The following is a 26572-nucleotide window of genomic DNA, read 5'->3' as shown; positions in this document are numbered from 1 at the left end:
AGAAGTGAATCAGAATCATTGCCCTCCCCTTTGGAGCACAGTCTTATTTGTGTGTTTCTCTCTCTCTCTCTTTCTCTCTCTCTCTCTGTGTGTGTGTGTGTGTGTGTGAGAGAGAGAGAGAGATGCAGAGAGAGACAGAGAGAGTAACACAGCATAGTAAGAGGTGGACATAAGACACAGACGGCTGTGGCACAGAGGAATAATGAACGCTACTCAGCGATCCGACAGCTGGGACTTAAAGGACAGAGTGTTGCAGCTGTGAGGGGCAGAGGTAGAACAGTTTCTTACATATTTGTGACAGCAGGAAAAGCATATGCAAAGATAAGGAAGTACAAAAATCTAACTGCAAGTGTTTCAGTCTGGCTGGAGAATGGTGTTGGACAGGAAGTCCAGGAGGGCACAGTCAGTCATGCTGTACAGTCTGGACTCCATCTGACAGAGAATTGGAAACTATTATGGGGCTTTAAACAGGGAACATTTTGTAACATTTGATCTGCAATTTTAAAAGATCATTTTGAAAGTATTATGGAGAATGGATTAGGAGGGGAGAAGAAGAGATTTTGAGTCAGAGAGACCAGTAAAAAGCCAACAAATAATGCAAACCTAAACTAACAATAACAGTAATGAAGGAAGCATATATTTCAAGAGTAACCCTCTTGTGCCAGCTTTTACACTAAGCATTTGAATGAAATATCTTACTGAATCACTTTCAACAACCACAACCCTGCCTCCCCCTAACATTGACATCATTAACCAGTGCCTTTCATGAAAGAGGAAATGAGACATAAAGAAGTTAAGGAATTTGACAAAAGTCACAGAGCTAGTAAGTGATAGAGCCAAGAATCAAATTCATGGACACATTTGCGAAATTTGGATGAGGTATAACTGAAATAATTGAATAACTTATTAGCGCAAGGAAGTGAGAGGATGGAGGAGCCACAGTAATTACACCATAACTGGTCACATTCCTTTTCCCTATTGTACCAAGATTATCAGGAAGCGTGGGGAAGAAGGGCAATTATTACATATATAAAGACAACCTAAAGTCTGACAATAATCAGGTAGCCTACACTGTCAGGAAGGAATAACAGCTACACCCAGGCTGTGTATCTCCAAGAGACACACAAGCTGTGGGAAACCGGTGTTTGTCTTGGCAGTTATAACTCCTATCTTCCTCGTGGATGTATTCTTGTTCTAAGAGAAGCAGTAAGAGACTGCATAAGAATTCTTCCACACATGCACTAGATTCATAAGCCCAAGGAAAGATTTCTATCATTACTTTAAAAAATGGCAGATGAAAATTATTCTAGCAAATATCAAAGTAAGGATGCCAAACACCCGATTGGGAGGCATATATTTCACATCCTTCACACAATTTATATTCCCAAACTCTCTACAGAATTAAAAGCTAAATAAAGAAGGAACATGTGGTATAAATTAGAGAAAAAGCAATGGTGCCATAACAGCGAATAAATTTAAACCCTCTAGCAGTAACGTGTACATTCCATATGTTTTATGTACATATATACTATGTTACTGTGTGGGCTTTTATGGCTACATATTTTTCAGAAACAATAATTTATATATTATTTGAGAATGTACAATAAATTGGTAAATGTTATCAAGGTAAATTTAATTCACAGCCTGAAGGAAAACATAGACAATTAGAACACATTCCTCTGTAAACACATATCATCTATATAAGAACTATTATAATTTTACTCATATACCTATCCATAATTTAAAAATGTCCCTCTAGTGGTCTAATAAGAAATTATTTCTTTCATATACAATGAAGTTTTGAAATAGCACTCTTCATAAACCATCCCCAAACATTGTTCCTTCAGGAAAACTACTTATTTGCAGAGTCACAAAATAATTGAGTTGATAGGGACCATAAGAAACATCTAATACAGCATTTCCAAATCAAGTTACATGAAAGGGTTTAGCAAGATGAGTTTTCCAAGAATAAGGAACGCTCTTGTCAAGTGTCTGAGAAACTGGGTTATACCAAGTTCAGTATATTTCTCTACCAAAATCCTTTTAAGCTATATTTTAATATGGTAATGAGCAAGGAAAATTTCCAAGAGGGCTGTAATATGTCCAGAGATCTTTCTAAATTTATTTGAACACGGAAGTTTTTAATTCTAGGAATAATGATCAATATCAGTGTTCTCTAAAATTTAATCTTATTTCACTACCTTCATTTTATACCTAACACTGAGGTATGAAAGGATAAGTGAAACTTCTCAGAGTCATAACATTCAAGAGCCAGGACTAGAAACCTGTTTTCTAAATACCTCATGCAACTCTGATTTTTTTTTCTGTGTGGGGCGGGTTGGGGGGCATCATTTTTCTTAGGGTACATTATTTAGCCACTAAAATGACAACAACTGAATTAGCCAACAGTACAATGAGAAAATCCTAACAATGGTCACCATTTATGAGTGCCCACCACATGCCAGATTAAAATCAAAGTCTCTAACAACTTGTCTTTCCTTCTTACAACAATGCAATGTAGTGAGGTACATATTATTTTCCCCATTTTACAGTGGAGGAAAGTGACTGGGAGGCATTTGTAACTGGTCACACAACTTGAAGAGACAAAGCAGGTCTGGCTGACTCAGATCCCCTGCCCTTTGCACCTGACCACCCCCACTTCATATCTGAAAAAGTTATGCTCTTCAAAACACTCACCCTGAATCTATCTCCCCCACTGAATTCCAAAAAGTAAAAAGTGGATATCTTTCTGAAATAGTCATTTTCACTTACTACAACAGCCATTTGGAATTCATCAAATATTGACTTCTCCATATTATAAAAGAACCACCACTTTGGATCACTTTTTTCTTTATCAGATTTCTGGTTTTAAAACCCAATGGCCAAAGACATTTTTTCTGTTTAAAAGGTTAAAAATGATAATTGAGGTATATTCTAATCATTAAATTCAAGAAGAACTAGCCAAGGTATTCTAGGCATAAATTCCCCAAAGCTAGTAAAAGTGACTTTAAAAGTAACTAAAGTGACTGAAATACTGTCTAATCAACACAACAAAAAGTAAATTAGAGTTTTCATAGTGAGATTCAATATAACCTGTTTCTAGACTACAGAAGAGTCCACCGAGCCAATATTTTAAGTAGATTCAAACTAATTCACCATGATTCCTTCAAATAATATACAGACCTATTATGAACCACAACATTACAATAATATTGTATGAACCAAATCAAAATCAAACTCTCACATGTCTGCATATTTTAACAGAATAGCAAATGTAGACCACATACCACAACCAGCAAGATAATATTAACAATAATGGCTTTAAAAAATAGCTAATCAAGCCACCAAAATATATAAAATGTTCATCTACAGTCTGCTTTGAAATCAAACAAAAATAAATAAAGTGAAAGACATGGTTCCTGTCTTATTTTTTTCACTGATGAGTATTAGAGGAATACTATAGCCTTGAAACATCCATCAGACAGCAAGTAGAAATAATTTGCTGACTTTTGCTATTTTGTTTCCAAGTCATAGAGCTTTATTAACAATAAGTCTGATCCCAGCAGCAAGGGCACTGATGTGACTGACACCCATAGTAATAAAAATATTACCCTTTGAGGCTTGTCAACTCTTCTTGCTACAGGCAGCTTGAGGAGATCCCTTGACAATGATTCATGGCTTGAAACTTATAGCCATCTGCTCTCTTGAAGAATGCCTCAGCCAAGGTGAAGAGGGGAGTTTTCGCAGCTGTATTCTTTTTCCTTCTAAAGTCTACAGAAAAGCATCCAACAAACCACAAAAATCTGGCACTAATTTGAATATGGCAGACATTATCCTCCATATGTTCTTGTTTCAATGGACTCTTTTTACAGTAACTATCTCATTTGATGCCATTTCTTTCCTCTCTTCACGATGTGAAGTGTCAATTTTTCTCACTCTATAAACTTCCTAATATCCTTTCCATCCTATGCAGTTTACAGGTATTTGTCCATCTCTATTTTAATGAAAAGCATGTTTTACTATTGATAAAACTTAAGAGTTCAACTAAATTTTATCAAGTTAAATTATTTGTTTTATGTTTAAGGAAACCAAGGTGAAGTAAGGTAAATTAATCATTGTAAAGTCACATAGCCAGTCAGTAGAATAATTAGAATTTGACCACTTGTCTCCCAATGCCCCACCCAGCATTTACTACCCTATTTAAGAGAAACTTCAGTGTCTCTGCTGTTCTCACTTAGATAGCTTAATGAGGAATAGTTTCTGGCTCATTTATCACTTAACAAACCGCAAGGAAAATGTCAGATGAACCAAATATTCGGCATTTTTATTGAACCAACTGAGAAGAAATATGTACAATTCCAGAAGGATACTTCTTTTTCTTATATAAAAAAAGAAAACTTTTAAAGATAAAGGTAAAACTCAGTTTTACATATCTTCACATCATATTCCCAAATGTGATTTCAAATAAGTTCTAAGAAAAGCTAGCATATGCAAATTAGATAATTATATTATAGAGGCAGGTCTATTGTTATCTACAGACACCAAGTAAATTATCACAGGATTCAATTGCTGGAAATAGACAGTGGGTATGAAGATACATAAAAGATAAGACAACTCAGAAAATCATTCTCATAAGCCACATATGAGGTCTAGTTTAGGTCTACTTCATACATTATAATCCTGGGACAGGATTGAAGGAGCTCAAGGAGCTATGGCTACCAACAGTATGCCTCCCTCATATCTCAAGAAGGCTGGTAGAAACTTACCTTGGCTCAAAACTCACACACAGGCCATTCTTCCACATTCCATTGACCAAAGTAAACCACTTAGCCAAGACCAACACCAGTAGGTGGTGAGCCATGCCAAGAAAAAGGAAAGGAGAACAAATCATGAGCAAATAATTCACCCTATCACTGTCACAGGGACAACAGCAGTTTTAGTGAAATGCTAAAGGCAAAAATAAGATTTAAGTGTGTTTTAGAAAGAATGGGAAGAGAGGGAATTGGAAAGATTGAGAAGAAAATGTTTTCAATGACTTTTTCTCAAAGATAACAAAGAATGTCGGCAGGTAAAAAAGGAGGAATTTATTTTGTTTGGAGGAATGTCTTTTTATTTTATAAAATGTATATTAGCTGCTTTTCTATTGATGAAAATAATCCTGAAAATAGTAAAAATTAATGATTTAGGACAGAAGTTGTAGGATTGGGACGAATTTCTTGTGCTATGTCCTTGACTAAGTAAGAAAGGAAAAGGGCTTACATGAAAGAGGATAGCTGATCCATAGAGAAGAAGATAGAAAATGTATCTATGGTAATGGGAAGAAAGTAATATGTGCCAAAACAGGCAGTTGGTTCAAAGTTGTGATGAAAGCTTATGAAAGATCTTTCCTGGTTACTTCAATTTTCTCAGTAAAACAGAAGCAAATGTCATTGGCTGAGAAAAAGGAGGGATATAAAATGCTGAAGATTCCAGAAGGCAGGAGAGGAGACATTATTGTCATCTAGAGAATGAGTGAATGAAGGAAGAGAGAAATAGAATGAAATTGTCAATGTCTTTTGATAGTGAAAGATCATAAAAAGCCTATGCAATTAGAAGCTATTGGTTAAACAAAAGCTATGAGGGAATTTTAGGTTTAGCTGTAATACATAAAAAGCTTAGAAGTTATCACGCCTGCATCTTTAAGACAATAAAGACTGAACAAATTGAAAATCTATGGCTTTTCTTGGACCCATGAAAGAATTAAAGTCACAGGACAAACTGCCACCCCTAAATCTGGAGAGAAAAGTGAATATAGAGATCACAGCCAAGATAAACTTACTTGGAGCAGAAGCCACTGTAGCTATTAACTGGTAGGAATATTTAAAAGGTAATTTGACCATTTGCTAGAGGTTGAGTATACACTACCTTGAGAATTAGAATTCCTAGGGACTAGTCTTATGTGATATTCACATATTCAGGAATTTTACCTCCACGGACACTACAGGTTCTCATAGTAAAGACTGAAAGAAAAAGAAAAAAAAAAAAAAAAAACCAACAACAACAACAAAAGCTTGTTTTGGAAGAACATAATCAATAATTCTGAAATATGCCCAGAGCATTTACCATAAGAAAGGCCTACTTTCTAAGGGAAAAGATGGCTCATAAAATTCATTTATTATCTAAGAAATGGGAAATTATCCAACTCCAGCCCCCTCTAGCTTTTCCATCTTACCTAAAGGGAGATATAAAAAGTTAAGAAACATTATACGGGTGACAGTTTAAAAACACGCTCCCAATTAAAAATGGAGATGTAGTCGTAAGTTTTCAGAATGCTTCTCCTTGCCCACATCTTATCACCATGCTAACAGATTTCTAGTATAACAACAGTGGATTACAGTTAAAATAACTATAACACACAAACTTCACTTAAGAAGGAGTTTGTAGTAAAACCCAAAGAGCTGTTGGTGATGTGTACCAGAACAGTAGAGGAAACTGATGCTTTTGCTATGTACAGCTATAGGAAACAGTGACACAACCCAACTCCCAGACATATCAACATAAAACCTCACATTAAGTGCTTATTTGCCTCTAGTCCTATTATCTAATAAATCATGTCCAGCTTTCAACAAAAATTACAAGCATGCTAAAAGACAAAGAAAAACACAATTGAAGAAAACAAAGCAAACATCAGAAACAGTCTGAGATGTGATATAGAGTTTGGAATAATCAGATAAACAACTTTAAAACACAATGATTATATGTTAAGGGCTCTAAAGGAAAACATGCAAGACACATAGGTAATATATGCAAAGAGATGAAAACTCTCAGAAAGAATCAAAAGGAAATACCTGAAATAAAAAACACTGTAACACAAATGAAGAATGCCTTTGATGGACCCATCAGTAGGCTGGACACGGCCAAAGAAAGAATTAGTGAGACTGAAGGTATAGCAATAGAAACTTCCCAAACTGACATGCAAAGAGAAAAAAAGAATGAAACAGAACATTCACAAACCATAGGACAATTTAAAATGGAGTGATACATGCTAATTTGAACACTAGAGATGAAAAAAGAGATACAGAAGAAATATTTGAAGTGGTAATGGTTGAGAATTTTCTAAAATTGGTGACAGACACCAAGCAAAGATCCAAGAAGCTCAGCAAACGCCAAAGAAGATGAATACCGAGAAAAAATTACACCTAAGCTTATATATTCAAATTTCAGAAAACCTAAAACAAAAGGAAAATTTTTGAAATAAGTCAGGGGAAAAAAAGCACTTCACCTACAGAGGAACAAGGAGAACTACATTGGACCTTTCCAAATAGGTAAATCCACAGAGACAGAAAACAGATTGGTGGTTTCCGGGGGCTGAGAAGAAGGGAGAATGGAGGAGTAAATGCTTAATGAGTATGGGATTTCCTTCTGGGGTGATGAAAGCATTTAGAACTAGATTGAGGTGGTGGTTGCACAACATTTTGAATGTATTCAATGCCACTAAATTGTTCACTTGAAATTAAGTGTATATTATGTGAATTTCACCTCAATTTAAAAACGTACATTTGAGAAAAAGTAAAGGAATTAAAAAAGACATACCATACTAACACTAATCAAAATAAACTTTTAGTAGCTACACTAATTTTCAACACAGCAGACATTAAAATAAAGAAAATTTTCAGGGAGAAAGAGGACATTTCATAATGATAAAGGGGTAAATTCTATAGAAGACATAATAATCCCTAAAGTGTATGCACCTAACAGCAAAGTATCCACATATGTGAGCTCAAGTGATACAGCCACAAAGGGAAGTAGACAAATTCACTATTACAGTTAGAGACAACACCCTTTTTTTCAAACTTGATAGTTTCAGCAGGCGTAAAATCAGTAAGAACATACTTGGACAGAACAACAGCAATCATCTTGATCTAATTGGCATTTATAGAATACTTTACCCAACAGCAGCAGACTACTCATTCTTCCCAAGCTCACATGGAACATTCACCAAGATATACCACATTCTGAGCCAAAAAACACACCTTAAGAATTTAAAAGAATAAAAATCTTACAAAATTATAAAATGATCACCGCATTTGAAAATGATATTGGAAAGGGCCTTTCATTGACAGGAACTTGTTCACTATACATGTTAAAAAAAAATAGGTACATCACTATTTAATTTTTGGACAGCATGGAAAAGCACAGAATATTAAAAAGATTTATAGTAGATGTCTCTGGTATTATGGCAATTTATCTTTTAAAATGTATTTATGTAGATTTCCAGTTTCTTATAATTTACATGCATTAACCATATGATGTTCTAAATGTTTTAATGAAAATATAAAATGCCTTGACTTAGTAATTTCACTTCTTAAAACATATTATAAAATCATCAGAAGGCTGAGGATTTACATATGAATTTATTTTATATCATTATTTATAAAGAGAAAATGTGAATTAATTGAAGTGCAATAATAAAAAATTGATGTTATATTTTGATATGTTATTTGAAATACAATTATAAAGTAATATTTTGAGGAAATGACATGAGAAAGCAATCATCATATAATAAAAAGTGAAAGAAAAAATTAAATGCAAAATGTATCTGTATATAGGAGGATCCCAATTTGTTATAGTGACCTTTAATAAAGGCTATTTCATGTAATGTGAGAAGAAGTAATTTGTTTTCTTCTTTATGGTATTTGGTATTTTCTGAATTTTCTATAACTATGAGATATTCTGATTGATAAATGGATTTTTTAAAAAATACTCAATAAAATAATAAATTCAATATGATCAAGCAATTTAATTAACAATTCATCCAATGAGTACCATAAAAGCTTGATAACAGAGGAGGTTTGATTTGTTTCAAGGTGAAATGAGAGGTTATGTCACTATTTTTCAGATAAAGGGACCAGATTCCTCAAGCTGTGGAAACTCTCTGTTAGCTAAGAGGATCAATGTGTGGAGTATGGTGCCTAATTACATGCACTGTATCCTATACACTGTATTGAGAGTGCTCAATGGAAAATCATCACAATTTAGATTATAAAAATTATTGCATCACTCATTAAAATTATTGTCACATTATTTCATCTTTCTTTAAGAATTTCAAAACTGTCACCAATGATGCTTATCAGCTGTAACTGGTTAATATTTTGATTAATATAACTATATTGACAAATAAAGTCAAAGGTAATAAAATGCCCAATAAGCAGTTTTTACTTTACCCAGTTTGGATGAGTATAAATAATAAATTACGTAGAGTAAATAAATCTAAAACATCTTTTTAGTTTCTAAGGAAAACCAAAAATGGTAGAAAGACAAAATTAGTTCCCAATTTCTCCATTCTTTAACCAAAAATTTCAGATCACCTAGTGACCAGAGAAAAGAAAGGAAAAAAGGAAGAAAAGAAGGAAGGGATGGAGGGAGGAAGGGGGAAACAGAGGGATAGGAAAAAAGAAGAAGGAGAAGAAGGAAGAGAAGAAAGATGAAAGCAAGCAAGAGAAAAAAGGGAAGGAAGTAGGGAAGGAAGGAAGGAAGGAAGGAAGGAAGGAAGGAAGGAAGGAAGGAAGAAGGAAGGAAGGAAGGAAGGAAGGAAGGAAGGAAGGAAGAAGGAAGGAAGGGGGATCATTTTGAAGCTCACAGCTCCATTCTTGGCATTTTTTAATTTAATATTTAAATTTTCAAATACCCCAGAGTTATCCCAAAGATCCATAATGTGGAAGAGAGATAACAATACCTCTATTAGGGAGGAGTCTTTTATTCCTGGCGTCTTGTTTCTAGAGGAAGCTTAAACTCCTGTGACATTTGCAGGCTTCCTCTTCACTCCTTCCTATCCTCCTCAGCAGAGAGGAGGAACTTACTGACGCCTAAACTTGAGGAAAACTTGGTCCAGGATACTGTACAGTCTAAGCAGTTTCCTTCCCTATACCAGGGGTGCCTGTTCCTTGAAAGCATATTAGGCTGCTTTCTCCATGTCTGGTTTGGTAAATTTAATTATTTAATTAAGAAACGTATTTGATAGAGTGTTAGATATGTCTCACGATAAAGAACTTAGGAAATGGTACTAATTGGCTTTTAGTGCATGGCTACATGATTTTCAGTGAGCCATCCAAGGAAGAAAATTTGTGTGCATAGTTGATGACATAATAGCTTTGGTTGATGAGCTCACGCAGGTGAAGTTTCTGAGGGAGACTTGGTAAGTACATTATTATACTTCATGCAAATTCGTATCTTCTAGGAGCAAGTATTTCCTATAAGAAGCAACTAAGATTTTTTTTTTCTGTCTGCTCCCAGCATTGTTTTCACATAGAAAAAAATACATGCCTGCTCTCACTATGGCATAACACGTTAATTAAAATAGAAAATTTTGCTGGGTTCTGTTCTCTGCTGGTGGAATAGGTAGACAGATGGGGTGAAGATAATCAAAGTTTTAAAGTAAGCTAGTTTTCTCCAAAGGGGCAGTTTCATGGGCAATTCCTACACACTTCAAAGTTCCCCAAGGGAGCATCATGGTACCGGCTCATCCTCCGAAAGGCCTGCAGTAGGCTGAATATTGATTCCCAAAGACATCAAGATCCTAACTCCGGGAACCTGTGAATGTTACCTTATATGTGAAAAGAGACTTTGCAAATGTAATGAAGTTGAGGATCCTGAGATGGGGATATTATCCTGGCTTATCTGGGTGGTTCTTAAATGGAATCACAAATGTACTTGTAAAAGGGAGGCAGAGGGAGATTTGACTATAGACACAGAAGGCAATGTGAAGACTGAAGAAAGATGTTACACTGATAGCTTTGAAGACAGAGAAAAGAGCCATGAACCAAGGTATGCAGCTCCAAAGCCAGAAGAAGGAAGTGGACTCTCCTCTAGAGCCTCCAGAGAGAGGATAGTCCCGCAGACACCTTGACTTCCGCCCAGTGAAATTGATTTTGAATCTCTGAACTTTCTCATTTTAAAAGAATACATGTTTGTTGTTCTAAGCCACAAAGTCTGTGGTAATTTCTTACAGCAACCATAGGAAACTAATCCAGAGCCCACTGCTAATAATAAATAACTGCAAATATGAAAGACACCACTCACCAACTCATGTCCCGTCTCCAGCTCTTTCTCTACCTGCCCACCTCCCCTCCCACCTCTTTCTATTTTCTTGGCCCACAATAAGGACTTGAGAGAATAAATATAAAAAATTATTTTTAGGAATTTAACAAGCCTCAGGGTTTGTTAAAGCAAAAGAACTCAGTTAATTGACTAGACTTTCTCAAACACAGGGCCAATGCCAGAGAATCCCTGGGCTGTTACCTCCAGGGAGGCAGAATGCAAGCTGACTCATGCCACAAGGCTAATTCCCCGGGGCTGGTCTTAAACTTCAATATATAAATAGGACACCTGCTTATATAATAAATATCATGCAGGAATTCATTTTTAAGAACAAAATATAGGATTATTTTTCTTCAGAACTTATGCCTTATTATGCCCTATTTTTCCTGCTTCATTATAGTCCCAGGAAGTAATCCCTATCCTTTTAGGAATTCATTTGAAAGATAAAAAATATTAAAAGTGAACCAAACATACAAATATCTCTCCTTCACATTAAGTCGAGATTTTTCTCTAATAAGCAATTGCCTACTCTTGAAAAATCAGCCCACTTAAATTATTCTAAAATATAAATATAAAAATAAATTTTTGTAATAATTTTTGAAATGAAATAATTTTTATGTAACATTTGTGATGCCAAAACTGAGTCCAATAGTGTTTTGGTAAATCAGCTCTCTGGAAAAAAGGAAGAGAAAGAGGAAGACTTCTGATTGCCAATTTCCATGGTGATATAAACAGTCCTCCAATTTTGAGTCACTAATAGTTTAACATCCAGCTCATTAAATTCCAGAATATGCATTAATCAGCCCTTATGCCCAGCCAGTTCTAGCACACCACTACAAAATGTCAAACTATATGTAATTATCAATGGTACTGATTGGTTTCTCTTAATTGCTTTTTGGATATCAGAAGACAAAGAATAAAAATGAGGAAAAAAATTAGTGAACTCTGACCTGCATCTTCATTTTATTTTTGGTCCAATGTTTTTCAATACAAACAGAAAGGGAAAGAGAAAAGACACCAGATTCAGTCCCTGAAAAAAACTTGAGAATAAAAGAACAACTTTAATTATCTTAATTATACTAATCCCTGCCCATGATCCAAGAACCTAATGCATCACCTATGCTAACAAGAAATTACAGAACTAGAAGAGAGAATGGAATATAAATAATTAAGCAGATGAAGTTGAGTCCTAATTCATCACAGAGACAAGAGTCCTCTTAGTGTGTATTGAGAAGGAACTCAAATGTGCTAACTGGTGTTTAATCTATTTCACTTTCAGTACTATAATTTTCTGATTTTCTCTGGAGTCATCTATTATAATAAAGCTATAGCTATCTTGGATAGAATCAAACTCCCATCCTTTAAGGATGGGATTTTTTTTTTTTTTATCTTCAGATGGCAATGAGCAGCTAGATCTCGAGATCCCTACTTTTAGCTAGGGACAACATGACTCTCGTCTCTAGGACCTTTCCATGCAGGAACTGATTCTTTCCTTCAATCTCAGCAGCGTAGCTGGTTAAGAATTAACATTTAAACCAGACTTTACTAATGATTTAGGCCAACAAAGACATATTCAGAAAGGCAAATATACTGAACTGATCAAAAAAGTAGATGTGTCTTCTCCCAGGAGCCCACTTTGTCCACTTTCACTGGGTTGAGCTCTCAGCAACCCTCACTTGACAGAGACCATCTTTCACCACCTGAGCTCACCCTTGAACAAAACATAAATCTTGGGAATTCAGACACAAGAAAGGACTACTCTCTGAAAGGAGAGTGCAATTGACCTTGGACAACGTGGGGGTTAAGGGTACCAACCCCTTGCATAGTCAAAAGTCTGAGTATAACTTTTGACTCTCCAAAAACCCTATTGTTGACCAGAAACCTTACTGATAGCACAAACAGTCTATTAACACATATTTTTATGTGTGTGTATTATATATTGTATTATTATAGTAAAGTAAGCTACAGAAAAGAAAATGTTATTAAGAAAATCATAAGGAGTAGAAAATACATTCATAGTACTATTATGTATTTGTCGATAGGGTAAGCCTATGTGGTCTGTTTACAAGATTAATTATCTGTCTGAAATGGTGGGCAACCACAGCTGCAGACACATCAATCTATTGTGCATATCAAGTAATACAACTTTTTCTTACAATATAGTGACTTTTCTCTGCTTCTTGGTAGCACTTCCAGGATCACTAGTGGCACTTTGGATGGGTCCCATGGTATTATTTAAGGTTTATGGTACTGCATTCAACATGATGAAAAACATGCAAGAACTGGAAGAGATCACTTGTTACTGCCACCCTCAATTTACTCGAGGGAGAAAATTAACATCACATGATGTTTTAAGCAGATACTCACAACACTTGAGCTCACTGCAATGACAATTGGAGGTAGCTACAAAATTATTACAGTAGTGCGGCATATAATACAGTTAATTTTATGCAGCTATAATTTAATACTACAATTTTGTGCTTGTTTACATTTCTCACAACTGCTAATATCCCCATGTACACTTTGTGTGCAAAATTTTGATACATTTAGCTTTTTATAACAGGCTTGTATATATCTTATGGTAGTAAATTATAAAATAGATTTGTGTCTATGTGTATTTTATGCATTCATGAAATAACTTTTTCTTATTTTTTTCAATATTTCTAGGCTACACAGTTTGTCCCTGAGTTGTTTTTTGTTTTCCAAATTGCTGCAAATCTCCAAGAAAAAAATCTTTAAATATTTATTGAAAAAAAATCTACATATAAGTGGACCCATGCAGTTCAACCTGTGTTGTTCATGGGACAACTGTATGTACTCCTCTCTCCTGTTTGAGTCTTACCTCCCAAGTCTCTGTTTTCTATCTTAGGGCTCAACTCTTCCCAGGACCACTGACATCAGGAATATCTCCTCCTTTATGGGAAGGCTTTACTCTTTAACTATGGGAGAATGCCTCAGACCTCGTTCCTACCAGAACAACCACATCAGATCTGTAATATATAGCTTTACCACGTCCTCAGTGAGTGCCTCAATAAATCTGAGATATTCTTTTTTCCTTTGTGACTACTTCCTTTTGACCATACCCACTTGGTTCTGGGTCACTTCCAAAAGCTTTAAAACATACTTAATGAATGTGTTCCCTAAAATGCCTCTCTTATCCAGCTGTCCCTTTTGGGAAAAATAAAGGAAAATCTTGATTAACATTATTGTGAGAGGTTTTGGAGAGTGAAGGTCTTAGCAATTGCACTTGCTTCTTTGGTTTAATTTGGAATATTCAAACTCTACTAGAAGCATTAAAGACCAGTGCATTAGTCTGTTTTCATGGTGCTGATAAAGACGTACCCAAGACTGGGTAAATTTATAAAGAAAGAGCGGTTTAATGGACTCACGGTTCCAAGTGGCTGGGGAGGCCTCACAATCATGGTGGAAGGCAAAAGTCATGTCTTACATGGCAGCAGACAAGAGAGAAAATGAGATCCAAGCGAAAGGGGTTTTAAACCATCAGATCTCATGAGACTTATTCACTAGGACAAGAACAGTATAGAGGAAACCGCCCCCATGAGTTAATTATCTCCCACAAGATCCCTCCCATAATACGTGGGAATTATGACAGCTACAATTCAAGATGAGATTTGGGTGGGGGACAGCCAAACCATATCAGCCAGAAACAGGGAAGAGGGTACAGGAGGCCCCTCTAAAGACTCATAGAAGGCTCTACATTCTCAACTTATATATCGAAGGGAAAATGGCCAGAAATTGGCTTGGGTAGGGGAAGAGAATTATAAATTCAGATTGGTTGGGAAAAAAATTACACGCTCTTTAGGGATTCTCTTCTCCTAAAATAATACTAAGCAACTCAGTGGGGTCTTTTTCTCTGATTCTTTATGAAAAGGGAAATATCAATTTTGATCTCACCTGAAGGAACAACATTATAATTATACCAAGGAGAAACATACAGGCGAAAGGAAGCATAAGGACCATAAGAAGAAATTAAATCTTTTCAAAGCTAGGGGGGAAAATGGAGTGTCAGTGCCAAGAAGGATAACACCTACATACGCTCAGGAACTTCAGTGGTAAATTCACGGGTAATATATGACTATTCCAACACAGTCTTCATTTATTATGTTTGCCTTGTGGGCAAAGTAGAGAAATACCTTACCTCATCAATATGAAACTGCTCAAAACTCAGAAGCTACAGCCAATAGTAATATGTTTATGAAATATATATATTTTTAAACCCTCATTGCTTACAGATCAAAGCTACAACTGCACATAGCATCAACAACTGCCAATTCATATGGAAATCTACTCTCTGATGTTGCAAAAGAAGCTCTAACTGTTCATTTTGTATCAGTATGTGGCTATCTCCCTGCAATTTTCCAGTCAATCAAATTAAAATAAGGATATCAACCACAATCTAAAGTAGAACACACAACTTTTAAATGTGTTTTAATGATACAGTAACATGCAATACTCTGTAAACTATTACTAAGAGCTTTCCCAAGGAACTTTGTGAGAAGATTCAGACAGTCTCACTATTATTTAAAATCAAGATTCACTTTTTTGGAGGTATCAAAAACCTGTTTATCATTAAAACCTCCTTTCAGACATTAAGTGCATCAATCTATGTAATGTATCCAGTATTGTGCTGACCCCATAGTAGTACCTCTTATGCAAACCTTGGGAACAGATGGTGGGATGTTTAGGGACAGATGATGTTCTAAGGAAGGAATCCTAAACTTTTCAAATAATGTTCATTTTTATCTAAGTTTCCTACATAGTTATAAGGGAAAATATCTCAGCAGAAGAGAGCAGTGATATACTTGCATTTCTTAATGGCAGTTCTAGAACATTAGGTATGTAGCCTCATTCTCATTAGGAGCACAACCTCCTTTCATCTTTCACCTGCCTAAGAAACCCACATTAGTGTGATGGCTGAGTAATGTAATACCAAAGCCTCTTGGCCAGTGAAACTTACTTCGTTTTTAAATACTTGTTTCATACTCTATAGTTTAAAATCAAAATTAAGGTTTAATGTGAATGTATTTTAGCAGAAAGTTCTATGTGTATGTATGTGTACATGTGTTTTAGATGGAGATATATAGAGAGGGAAAAAATGAGATAGATATTAGAATGATAGATTGGCACATGATAGACAAACAGAAAATTATTTATCAGAGCTGGAAGCAAGCAGCCTTACAAAGCTATGGGAAATCGAGCCCCACACTTTTGTATTGGTTAAATCATTACCATCTTTTTTCATATTTGGAAGACTAAAATGTATAGATTGTAACTATTTTCCCAAGGTAAAAGTGATAGTAGAAAGTAGTAGATTAGCAATAGAAACCCAGATCTCCTGCTTCTTAATACAGTATGGTTTTGTTTTTAACTTTTACATTTGTTGTGTTTTTAATTTTTTAGAAAATGTTTAAATGTTATATTTAAAGAAAAGTTGCAAAAATAATGCAGAAAGTTCCCATATACCCTTCAGGTACTGTCCTCTAATGTGGACATCTTGCATAACTATCATATAATTATCAAAACTAAGACACTAACACTGGAACCATATTATTAAATAAAACACTCATATCAGCAGCTTTTCCACTCATGTGTTTTTCTGCTCCAAGATCAAATCTAAGATTAGACGATACATTTGGTTTTTATGTCTCCTGGGTCTCTGTAATTTGTGTGATGAAAGAACTACTTAGTGAAGGAAATTTGACATCTTAAAAGAAATGATTATCAAACACCGAGCCCAGAAATGAACTAAAGTATTAATTAATGATAATATCTTGGAGCCTTCATATTCATAATCATTTTATACTTCATAATGACCATTATACATTGATACCTTTTTTTTCTGTATTCTAAACTGGAACACTCTGAAATTTATCCCTCTTCCTTTTTCATAATTTGCTATTTTTACAACTGACAATGTTAAGATTCAGTAGCTCTGTCTCTGTGTCAAAAGAAGCATCAGATGGGCAACATAGTAAGGAAAAAATGTTGATCATTTACTATGTAATCTTAGGAAAATTATTTAACCGTTCTGGATTTCCATTTCTTTTTACAACAGAAAGCAATAATGCCTACATTTTAGAGTTGTTGTAAGGATTAAATGTAAAGGTCCAAGCCCAGCGTTTGAAATATAATTAGTACTCACTAAATGTTGATTCATTAATTATTATTCTAAATCAGTGCTTCTCCACTGGGAATGATTATGCCCCCCAGGAGACATCTAACAATGTTTGGAGACACTTGGCTGTCACAGTTTTGGAGAGGTGCTACTGGCATCTAGAGAGAGGCCAGGGATGAAGCTAAACATCCCTCAATGTAGAGATGAGTCCTCCAGAACAAAGAACTACCTGGCTCAAAATGTCAACAGTGCTGTTTAAAAAACTGTGTTTTAAAGAATGAGATGAGTTTTTCTGCATCCTGGCTCTGGAACACCGATACACTGGAATGAACTGAGATGGCAAAACATATTACATGAAGTCCAACCACTTAACATTGACCAACCAAAGGCTTATTGTTACATTTTAAAGCATTAAATGGAAGTCTGTAGCTGAAATCTCAAATGCTCTGCCTGGAAACTAAGGTCTTCGTAATTGACATTGCTCTATCATATATGTCTTCCTTCCCTGACTTTACCCAATCTCAGACCACAAAGAAAAAGAGTATGAAAATTTACACATAAAGCTTTCCTTTGTTTAAGGGCAGGAAATGTAAAATGTTTGCTTTCATTCTCACTTAATCGCAATAGAGAGCTGAAGGTAGAGGCTGGCAAAACCGTTTACACTTCCACCATACTTTTCCTTAACAAACTCTTATTAATAGTGTTACCTTGCCCAGGTACCTGTCTCTAGGATTATGACTTGTTTGGAGCTCAGTCTTCTCCTTGTTAGAAAGCCATGTCTTTTTCATCTCCCTGGAAAAGAAATGAATAAACAGAAGATTTGGTAATCAGAACAGAAACAGTAGTTTTCTCAGATTTAACAAAAGTGAAAGACAAAATATATTTTAATTATTATCTCTAGTTTAAAAGAACATCATGGAAAATGTGATCATAAGGATAAATTTACTTTATTTTCACTGTAGACTCATGTGACAGCCCAAACACTGCAGTGAACTTTAAACCTGACAAATTGGGTTGTAATCAGGTGTTAGTTATATTAACATAACTTAAATACTTTATATAAATGTAAATATATAGAAATATAGATATATAATATATATTTATATATATAGCTTATGTATGCATATGTATATACACATTATATATGTGTATATACATATATACACAGACACACACATACACTGAAAAAGAAAGCTTCTGACATTGTTAACTTCCCAAAACAGATAACTCTGCTACTTTATGGGAGTCAGCCGAAGAGGGAATTAAATCAAAACCTCAGATATTAATCCTAATAACTATGATTACAGCAACTAATACAAAATAACAGTATTAAGAATTTTTCCCAGGCATGTTGGCTCATTCCTGTAATCCTAGCACTTTGGGAGGCTAAGGCAGGTGGATCACTTGAGGCCAGGAGTTCAAGATCAGCCTGGCCAAAATGGAAAAACTCTGTCTCTACCAAAAATACAAAAATTAGCTAGGCATGGTGGCCTGTGTCTGTAATCCCAGCTACTCAGGAGGCTGAGGCAGGAGAATTGCTTGAGCCTGGGAGGCAGAGGTTGCAGTGAGTGGAGATTGCACCTGTGCACTCTAGCCTGGGCAACAGAGCAAGACTCTGTCTCAAAGAAAAAAAAGATTTTTTGAGAATTCAGCACAAACCAAGCATTAAGCTCAAGGGCTTTGCACACCTTACCCCATTTCATTCAAATAATAACTGACTCAGTTCCTTATGAATTATCACTATCTGCATATTAACAACAAGGAACTGAGGTACAACATACAGAGCTAATAAATGGTAGATTCAGGATTTGAAACCACAGCTATTAGTCAGTACATCATATTATACACTATAACTAAATCATAGGTACAATTAAACCAAAGTTATATTTTATTAATTTAACTTGGTTTTTGTGCTAAGGTTATTTGTGCTTGGCAAACCACGTCCTCATAAATAGGGCAAGGTAATTTATTCACTTATTTGATAAACATTTATGAGTGCTTAGTATGTGTAAGGCACTCTCTTGGAACTTGCTAGGGACACAAAGATAAATCAAATATACAGTATAGCCTCAAACAACTTATAATATGAAATAACAAAGAGAGAATGAGATGTTTCCAGGAAGCTGTAGAAAGAGATGTTGCCTCCTTTAGAGCTGTCTCTGTAGTTTCTACAAGTGTGCATGATTCATAACAGGCAATGATTGGATTAACACATGCATAAATGTAAGTGTAAACAATCAAAGGTAGCGTATGAGCCAGGACATAAACATTGCTAGGATTCCCATATAAAAATAGAGGGAAAAACACATTCAGACAGAGCTAGTGGAGAAAATGAACAGTATAAACAAGACTGAGTTTATTAGTCTATTAAGTATGAATGAAAGAAACATTTTTCATTTACACAAAGATAACAGACTTCCTTTGTCAAAAATTCCAACAATAAAGTAAGATATTAAAAAAATCAGAGAAGCCAGAGAGGGCCATCTGTAAGTAATAAGTGGATGGACAAGTCTGAACTAATCCATTTTTCTCATCCCATATCCATTTATTAAAAATTATGAGGTTTTATTGCTCTGTTGTCATCATATATTTTCAGGGAGATGCTCAGGCTTGTCACACAGATGAGAGCAAAGATATTTGTTAGATCTTAGAACCATATAATAAACTACTGACAAAAACAAGTAAAAAAGCAAATATTTGCAAAACTGATATAAGTGGCCTCAAGTGAAAAAATTAATTTTAATTCTCATCATTTACTTAGGAATAAAGATATGGCCTCAAAAACTAGAACTTTGGCTGTTGTTAGCCAACATAATGGTGTTTTCATTTTAAATAAGAGTTATTCAGAAAAAAAAATCTTTTTCTTCTGTACAAATAGGAATGCTGAAAAAAAATTCATATGTCTTAAACTCTTTTTCATATATCACCTCTTCCAACAAAATATGAAACTATTTTCCATCCTGCTTATTCAACCTTAATTTCAATGTCAACAATTTTTGATGAAGATATAAAGATTTGTAGAGCTTTTATCATTGTATTACAATTTTTTAGGTTCCCCCATCTTCAAAATTAAACTCTCAATTGTTTACATTTTAAAGTAAAAGGTTATGAAATAAAATATTTTCAAACAAAATTTAAGGGGAGACGATACAGACAGAGACTATTGTTGCCTAAACCACCAACTGATTGACACTTTACAAGTGTCACTTTTAGTATCTTGACCACAACTGTCAGACTTGGTTAAGTAATTGGTTCCAGGATAAACATCCAATATGCATCCAACCAATAGAGTCTGCTTAGTGCTGTATGTTTTCTCAATAAGTATATGAAAAGCAATACCTTTTACTTTCTTCCTAGGGGGTTCAAAAGTAGTTATCATCACTTTCACTGTTTACAATGTGGTCATAGTCAAGGAAACAGGGTGACACATGAAACTTAAATAAGGTGAGATTCCATCAACCTCACACTGTCCAGAATTCTCACATTCCACTTGATGAAACACTCTGACAACCAGATTGAAAATGGAGCAATGTGTATATTTTTACAGCCAATGCATCTAAGCCCATATCCAAAAAGAATATCCACTTGTAAAATTACTTGAATTCCACACCTCCTCACTGCCTCGATTTTCCTAATGCTCTGAAGGTCTAAGAACAAACTGTGAAGTTATATATGAGCCAATTGGTAGCTGCTGTATAAATCATACTAAAATAAATAGAATTCATGGCTAAGATTAAACAGCCCATGGCAAGGCTCTTGTGTAAATAAACCCATTGTTCCTTTGTATATTAAAATTGTATTTATCAAACAAAAAAAGAATGAGCACACATTGCATGAAAAAGGCAACTCATTTAGGACAAAATGATGGTATATAATAAAAAGATTTATTGTGTGACTAAAATGAAAATTAAATTCCTGTTAAAATATTTATGTAGATGTGGCTGAAACATTCTGCTGGGAAATAAATCAGGGCGGCCTTTGGCATTTCACAGGCATAACTCCTCTATTCTTCTGCTGCAAATTTAGAGCTTACAAGATGCTAATGGCACCTCAGTTTCCAGGATAGTCTCTGCAGACTGCTTTCACTCAGCAGGTGGTAAGAATTTGCATCCATATTTCAAATATACTTCTATCTCATTACTGGCTTCTTATTTCTTTGTGATTTATGTCTCTATAAAATTCCAGCTAGTGCAATGGGGAATGGGCTTTCAAAAAGGCAAAAACCCCATAATATGGACATTTATCACTTTCTTCCTTCTTTACTTTTTTCTTCATCTCCAGAGAGACGGGGTGAATGACAGGTAGCACTTAAAGTGAAGGTGTACTTTTCTTAAAATAATGCCACTTGAAAGCTTTCAAAATTAAGACTATTTCTCCAAACATCAGTAGCTAGTGAGTGGCAGTAGCACTTGTACCGTTACCTACATTTAACTGAACCGCGATCTTTAAATAACATATATACATTAGAAAGTATCTCACTTGATAACTATTAATTTGTAAGAATCTTCATTATTTAAAATTCAGGAAGTGCTTTTTGTAATAAGTCTGAACATAACAAATCTATTTGGTATTCATGCAGATGTCACAGCAATTTCAGAGTTGTTACACTATAATTCTGTGCTACTTAATAGATATTAAGGTGGTAGCAGTTGTGTCACTGTAGATAAGACTCTTTCACAGTTCCTTTGTCAAATTCACCTCTTGCTGGTGTTTAGAATTTAGCTAAAGTAAAATTACACGCTTGTGAAAATTGACAGGTTCAGGGATTTAGAGGCATTTTCCAGGGGCAAGAAAGAGCAAGCTATAGTGAAATGAAAGGCAGCAAGGAGGGATGTAGGCAAGGTAGCTGAATATTACTAGGATTAAACTTAGACGTGTAAATTTTTAATTTGTATGGTAAATTAAAGAATATAAACCCACATATTTCCTTCTAGGTCTTATTTTTTTCATATTCCATTCCAGAAGAGAAATTAAAACACTTAGGGAGATTTTACAGGCCATATGCTAGAATACCAGGTGCTAAGATGTCTATCCTATTTCAAAAAGTCACTGATATTTTAAATAATTTTCTGAATTAAATTAAAAACATTTTGCCATTTGACTTAAAATAGATTACATTTAGTGAAGGTATTTTACATTGAGGTACACAGATTTTTTTTATTGGATATAACAAAAAGCTGAAATCAATAGTCCTAAATAATAAAGAGAATGTATTGATTCATTTAACTAACATATTCACAGAAGAGATTTGGTCCAGCAGCTCATAACATCACCAAAGACTGAATTCTATTCTTTCTCTCCCTTTGTTTCTCAGGCTTCCTTTCATGATGGCTGCCAGTAACAGCTACCCCTCATTTACATCCAGCAGAGATGAGGGGTATCTCTTCGGGGAGTTCATGCAAAAAAGTAAGAAATCTTCATTCTTGAAGCCCACAGAAAATGTCCCCTCAGTCTCACTGTCTAAAACTGTGCCATGTGCCATCTTTAAATCAATCTCTGTATTCCAAGAAAACAGAATACTCTAAATTGCTTACGCTAACTAGGGCCAACCTCTGCCCCTGGAAATCGATGTCAAATCTATCAAAACAGAGTGGCTAGGAAATCCACGGAGGCCCTATTAGGAATGGGACCAGGAAGCGGAAGCCATTAAGGCTACCAACAATGTGTGCTGTGGACACCGTGCACTTTATCTCCAGGATTTCATTTATTCCTCAGAGCAATTTTATGTTCTGAATATTAAAGACTCCAAGTTTCTAAGGCATGAAGAAATTGAAAAAGTTTGAAATTTATTTTGATATAAAGAATGGAGGAAAGCTTGAAACACACATTATTTAGGATCCAGATAAATATGATTTATGCAGATTCTGTGATTTAACCATTTGATTGTGGGCTTTCATGACCTGATCATGCACCTTTCTATCAGGACTTTATAATTAAAGTTAGAAGTAATACAGAAGATATGAGAACCATGTATTTATTTATTTAGAACTAATTATCCAGTTTGGGGTATGAAGCCAGAAGCAGATGTTGTTTGGTTGTTTTGTTTTTTCCTTTGTTCAAAACAAGAGAGTCTTTCACATAGACTTTGAAGGGAAGCTTTAATGCTGCTTTCTGTCCTCCTCAAATGCAGTAAGGAATAACAGGAAGGGTGCCTGACAACAGGAAAAGCTCTATTGAGCCAGGAATTATTTAAAAAAAAATTTTTTATCATGTATATAATGCTATTTTTAAGAAAAGTTCTTGGGGCAAGGTAAGGACTCATAAACACTTATTGAATAAATAAATGAATGAGGGCATGAATGAATGAAGATAAAGCAACTTAAAGCCTTGCTTTCTCATGAGTCTAGGCAAAATTGATGATTGTTGATAGTGGGAAAGAAAAGGTCATGGGAACTTAGTTTTTCAATAGCGTGCAAGGTTTTTCTTTGTGCAGCTGGGAAGGAGCAAAACGTCCGTAAGTGGGTCTCAGCAGGTGCAAACAAAGAAGCACAGACCAGGTATGTGTTCTGTATCCCTGAGCTATTCAAGAAAATCAGCCATCTGTCCCCGCAGCATAAGCCAGCCAGAGCATAGTCCTAGCTCCTTCCAGGGACAGCCACATTTAAAAGTTGGACAACCACACACTAAGGGGGTGGGACCTCCTCAGCACAAGTAGTATCTACAGTCTTGAAAATATTCTTAGTTAAAAGACAATCACAAAACACTATTTTGAACAAAACATTACAACTTAAATTTGATTTCATGAAGCAGCTTTATATTAAGGCCTGAGGCTCTATCTTCTTTAAGAGACAGTCTTATAACTACAAAAAACTTAGTTTCAGGGTGGTTTTTTCTTAAACAAGTTTTAAGACCCATCGATTTTTTCGGGATACACTTGACTAGATAGATGAGTTCCAGACATCTCATAAACGTGTGCAACTTAGTTAAATCTGGTAGCATAGTTCTTCCTGACATACAGTCTCATTTTTAAAGTACATTCTAATAGTCAAAGGTAATTAAAGCTAACCATCTAAGCTAATACCACCTCAGTATAGAAACAGAAATATTTCATTCTCCAGAAGTCTCCTGTGTATTCTTAGTCATAACCCCTCTCCATCAAAAATAAACACTATCTTGAATTTTATGCTAATCAGTTACTTTTCCTTATAGTTTTAAACCTACATGCACATTTTAAAACAGCAGTTTATGCTTTGTCTATGATGAATTGACTATATATGTAGTTATGTGTATATTACTGTAATATATATGTGTGTGTGTGTGTGTATATATATATATATATATCTTACTACATATATTCTTTAGTGTCTTACTTCTTCCCCTCAGATATATACTATTCATTCATGTTGTGGTATCTAGAGCTGTAGTTCATTCATTTTCAGTATTTGTATATGTAGTTGTTATCTAATTTTTCCATGATTTATTCATCTATTCTACCGAGTCGATATTTATATTTATTTAGATTTACAGTTGGAGATTTTACAAATCATACCATTGTGAACATTGGTATATGCATCCTGATGTAAATATATACAAATTTCTCTAAGGGCTATGATGAGTATTATAATTCCTGGATTATAAGTATATTTTCCCCCAGCTTTAGTAGATGTTGTGCATTAGTTTCCCCAGAAGGCAAATTCTGAGACAGAGATTTACATGTAGGAAGTTGACTGGCGAGTGTTTGCAGACTTGACATCCACAGAAGAAAAGAAGGTAACAAGATTAAGTGAAAGCCAGCTACAGTTAGCTCCACAGAGATCCTTGAAGCTGTGATGACGCTTCAGAGTTACTGTTGAGGCAATGAGGCTAAAAAATTATGTTCCCCACTGAACAGTAATTAGAGCAGGCTTTGCCCTGGAAGAAACGACCATACATGAAAAGTCACTCTTCACCTGAGGGCAACTTCCAGAGAGGGCTGAAAGCTAAAGGCTATTCCAGCAGCAACCCTCAGTGCAGCTGGAAAAATAAATCCTTCAGTTCAGAATATAAATCTGGGCCATGTAGCAGAGTGTCCACTAGAACAGGTAATACCAATGGGCTTTCCAAAGTGGCCATCTAATTCAACTTTTTACGCTATCTCTTAAAGTGTATAAAACGGAATGAAATGCCTTCTTAGTGCAAACATCTTCAATTTCCTTATTTCCTTGGCGCTGTAACCTAAGCCACATGAAGTGGAGATACTCCCCCAAAACTATTTCTCCTTCACTCTTCAAACAAGGTCCTTCAAGAAAGAAAGGAGGAACATAGAGTTTGAGATGAGTGATGGAGCGATCCTGATACAAGGAGAAATGGGGAGTTTTTACCTCCAACAGAGAGGTTTGGAAAATAAGTGAGTTTACCAGGAGAGGGACTCAGGAGGTAGAAGATCCATTGACAAGGACCTGGTGAGGGTCCACTGGGAGGTACATAATTTTCACACTTGTTCTCTTTTTATGTTTAGTCATTGCTTACGAAACCCCTCCCCACACCTTTACTCAAGGGCAAACTTCAAACCACATGAGTCTACAGCCATGTCATAAACATCTTCTGATCAGCTTTCAGCACCTCACCTGTTGATATCCCAGCAGGAGTGAGGTCTGTTTGTATTATATTTTGTCTGACTTCCCCTTCACACCTGTCATCCCGAGAAAATGATTTGAGACCTATACACCTTGTAGAGTAATAGCAGAAAAGCTTTGGCATTCAGGAAAAGAGAGCTGATCTTAACAAGTTAAAAACAAACAACTTGAACTGTGAAAGTAATGAATAACACTCCTCTTTACATCATTGTTTTGTACTTTCCTGCCTTCTAAACATTGCCTGCTAAACCTTCATGCCCTACCCTGAACATTACTTTGATATCAAAAGTAAACCTTATTTACCCCTTGCAGGGGCAAAGAGAATTATGCAATTGAGTCATTGTTGTCAGGACGCAAACTGGGACATCTCTGATCTGCAGGAATTTTCAAGTTTATTATTTCAAAAATGAAAGTATTAAAGTGCTTCTTCCCAAGTAATTTGTTAATTAAGGGATTACTGTACCTCTGACACTCCCATAATTGATCTGAGAGGCATGTAGAAAACTAATATTCATTTCCTCATTTTCTTTCCCAATTAAGAAAGAGCAAGTCAGTTCAGATGGCTTGTCTAGGGTCACAGAACAAGTCAGTGGTGAGCCCCTGTGTCCATTAATTCCAGTCAGACAGGGTGCATTGAGCATTGCTAGGAGGCTTTGCTCATTCAGTGATCACTGAATGGATGGAAGTCAGATATTTGCTACTGAGATATTTTCAGGGTGAGGCCCACTGACCTGCAGAGGATTGATTGAGTCTTCGACATTGCTGTAGCCCAATGAGGACAGCTCACTAGTAAATTAAACCTTGA

The sequence above is a fragment of the Homo sapiens genome, chromosome 11 (genome assembly GCF_000001405.40).
Source record: "Homo sapiens chromosome 11, GRCh38.p14 Primary Assembly".
NCBI lineage: Eukaryota > Metazoa > Chordata > Mammalia > Primates > Hominidae > Homo > Homo sapiens.
The sequence above is the reverse complement of the archived record's forward strand: the minus strand, read 5'-3'. Positions refer to the sequence as shown.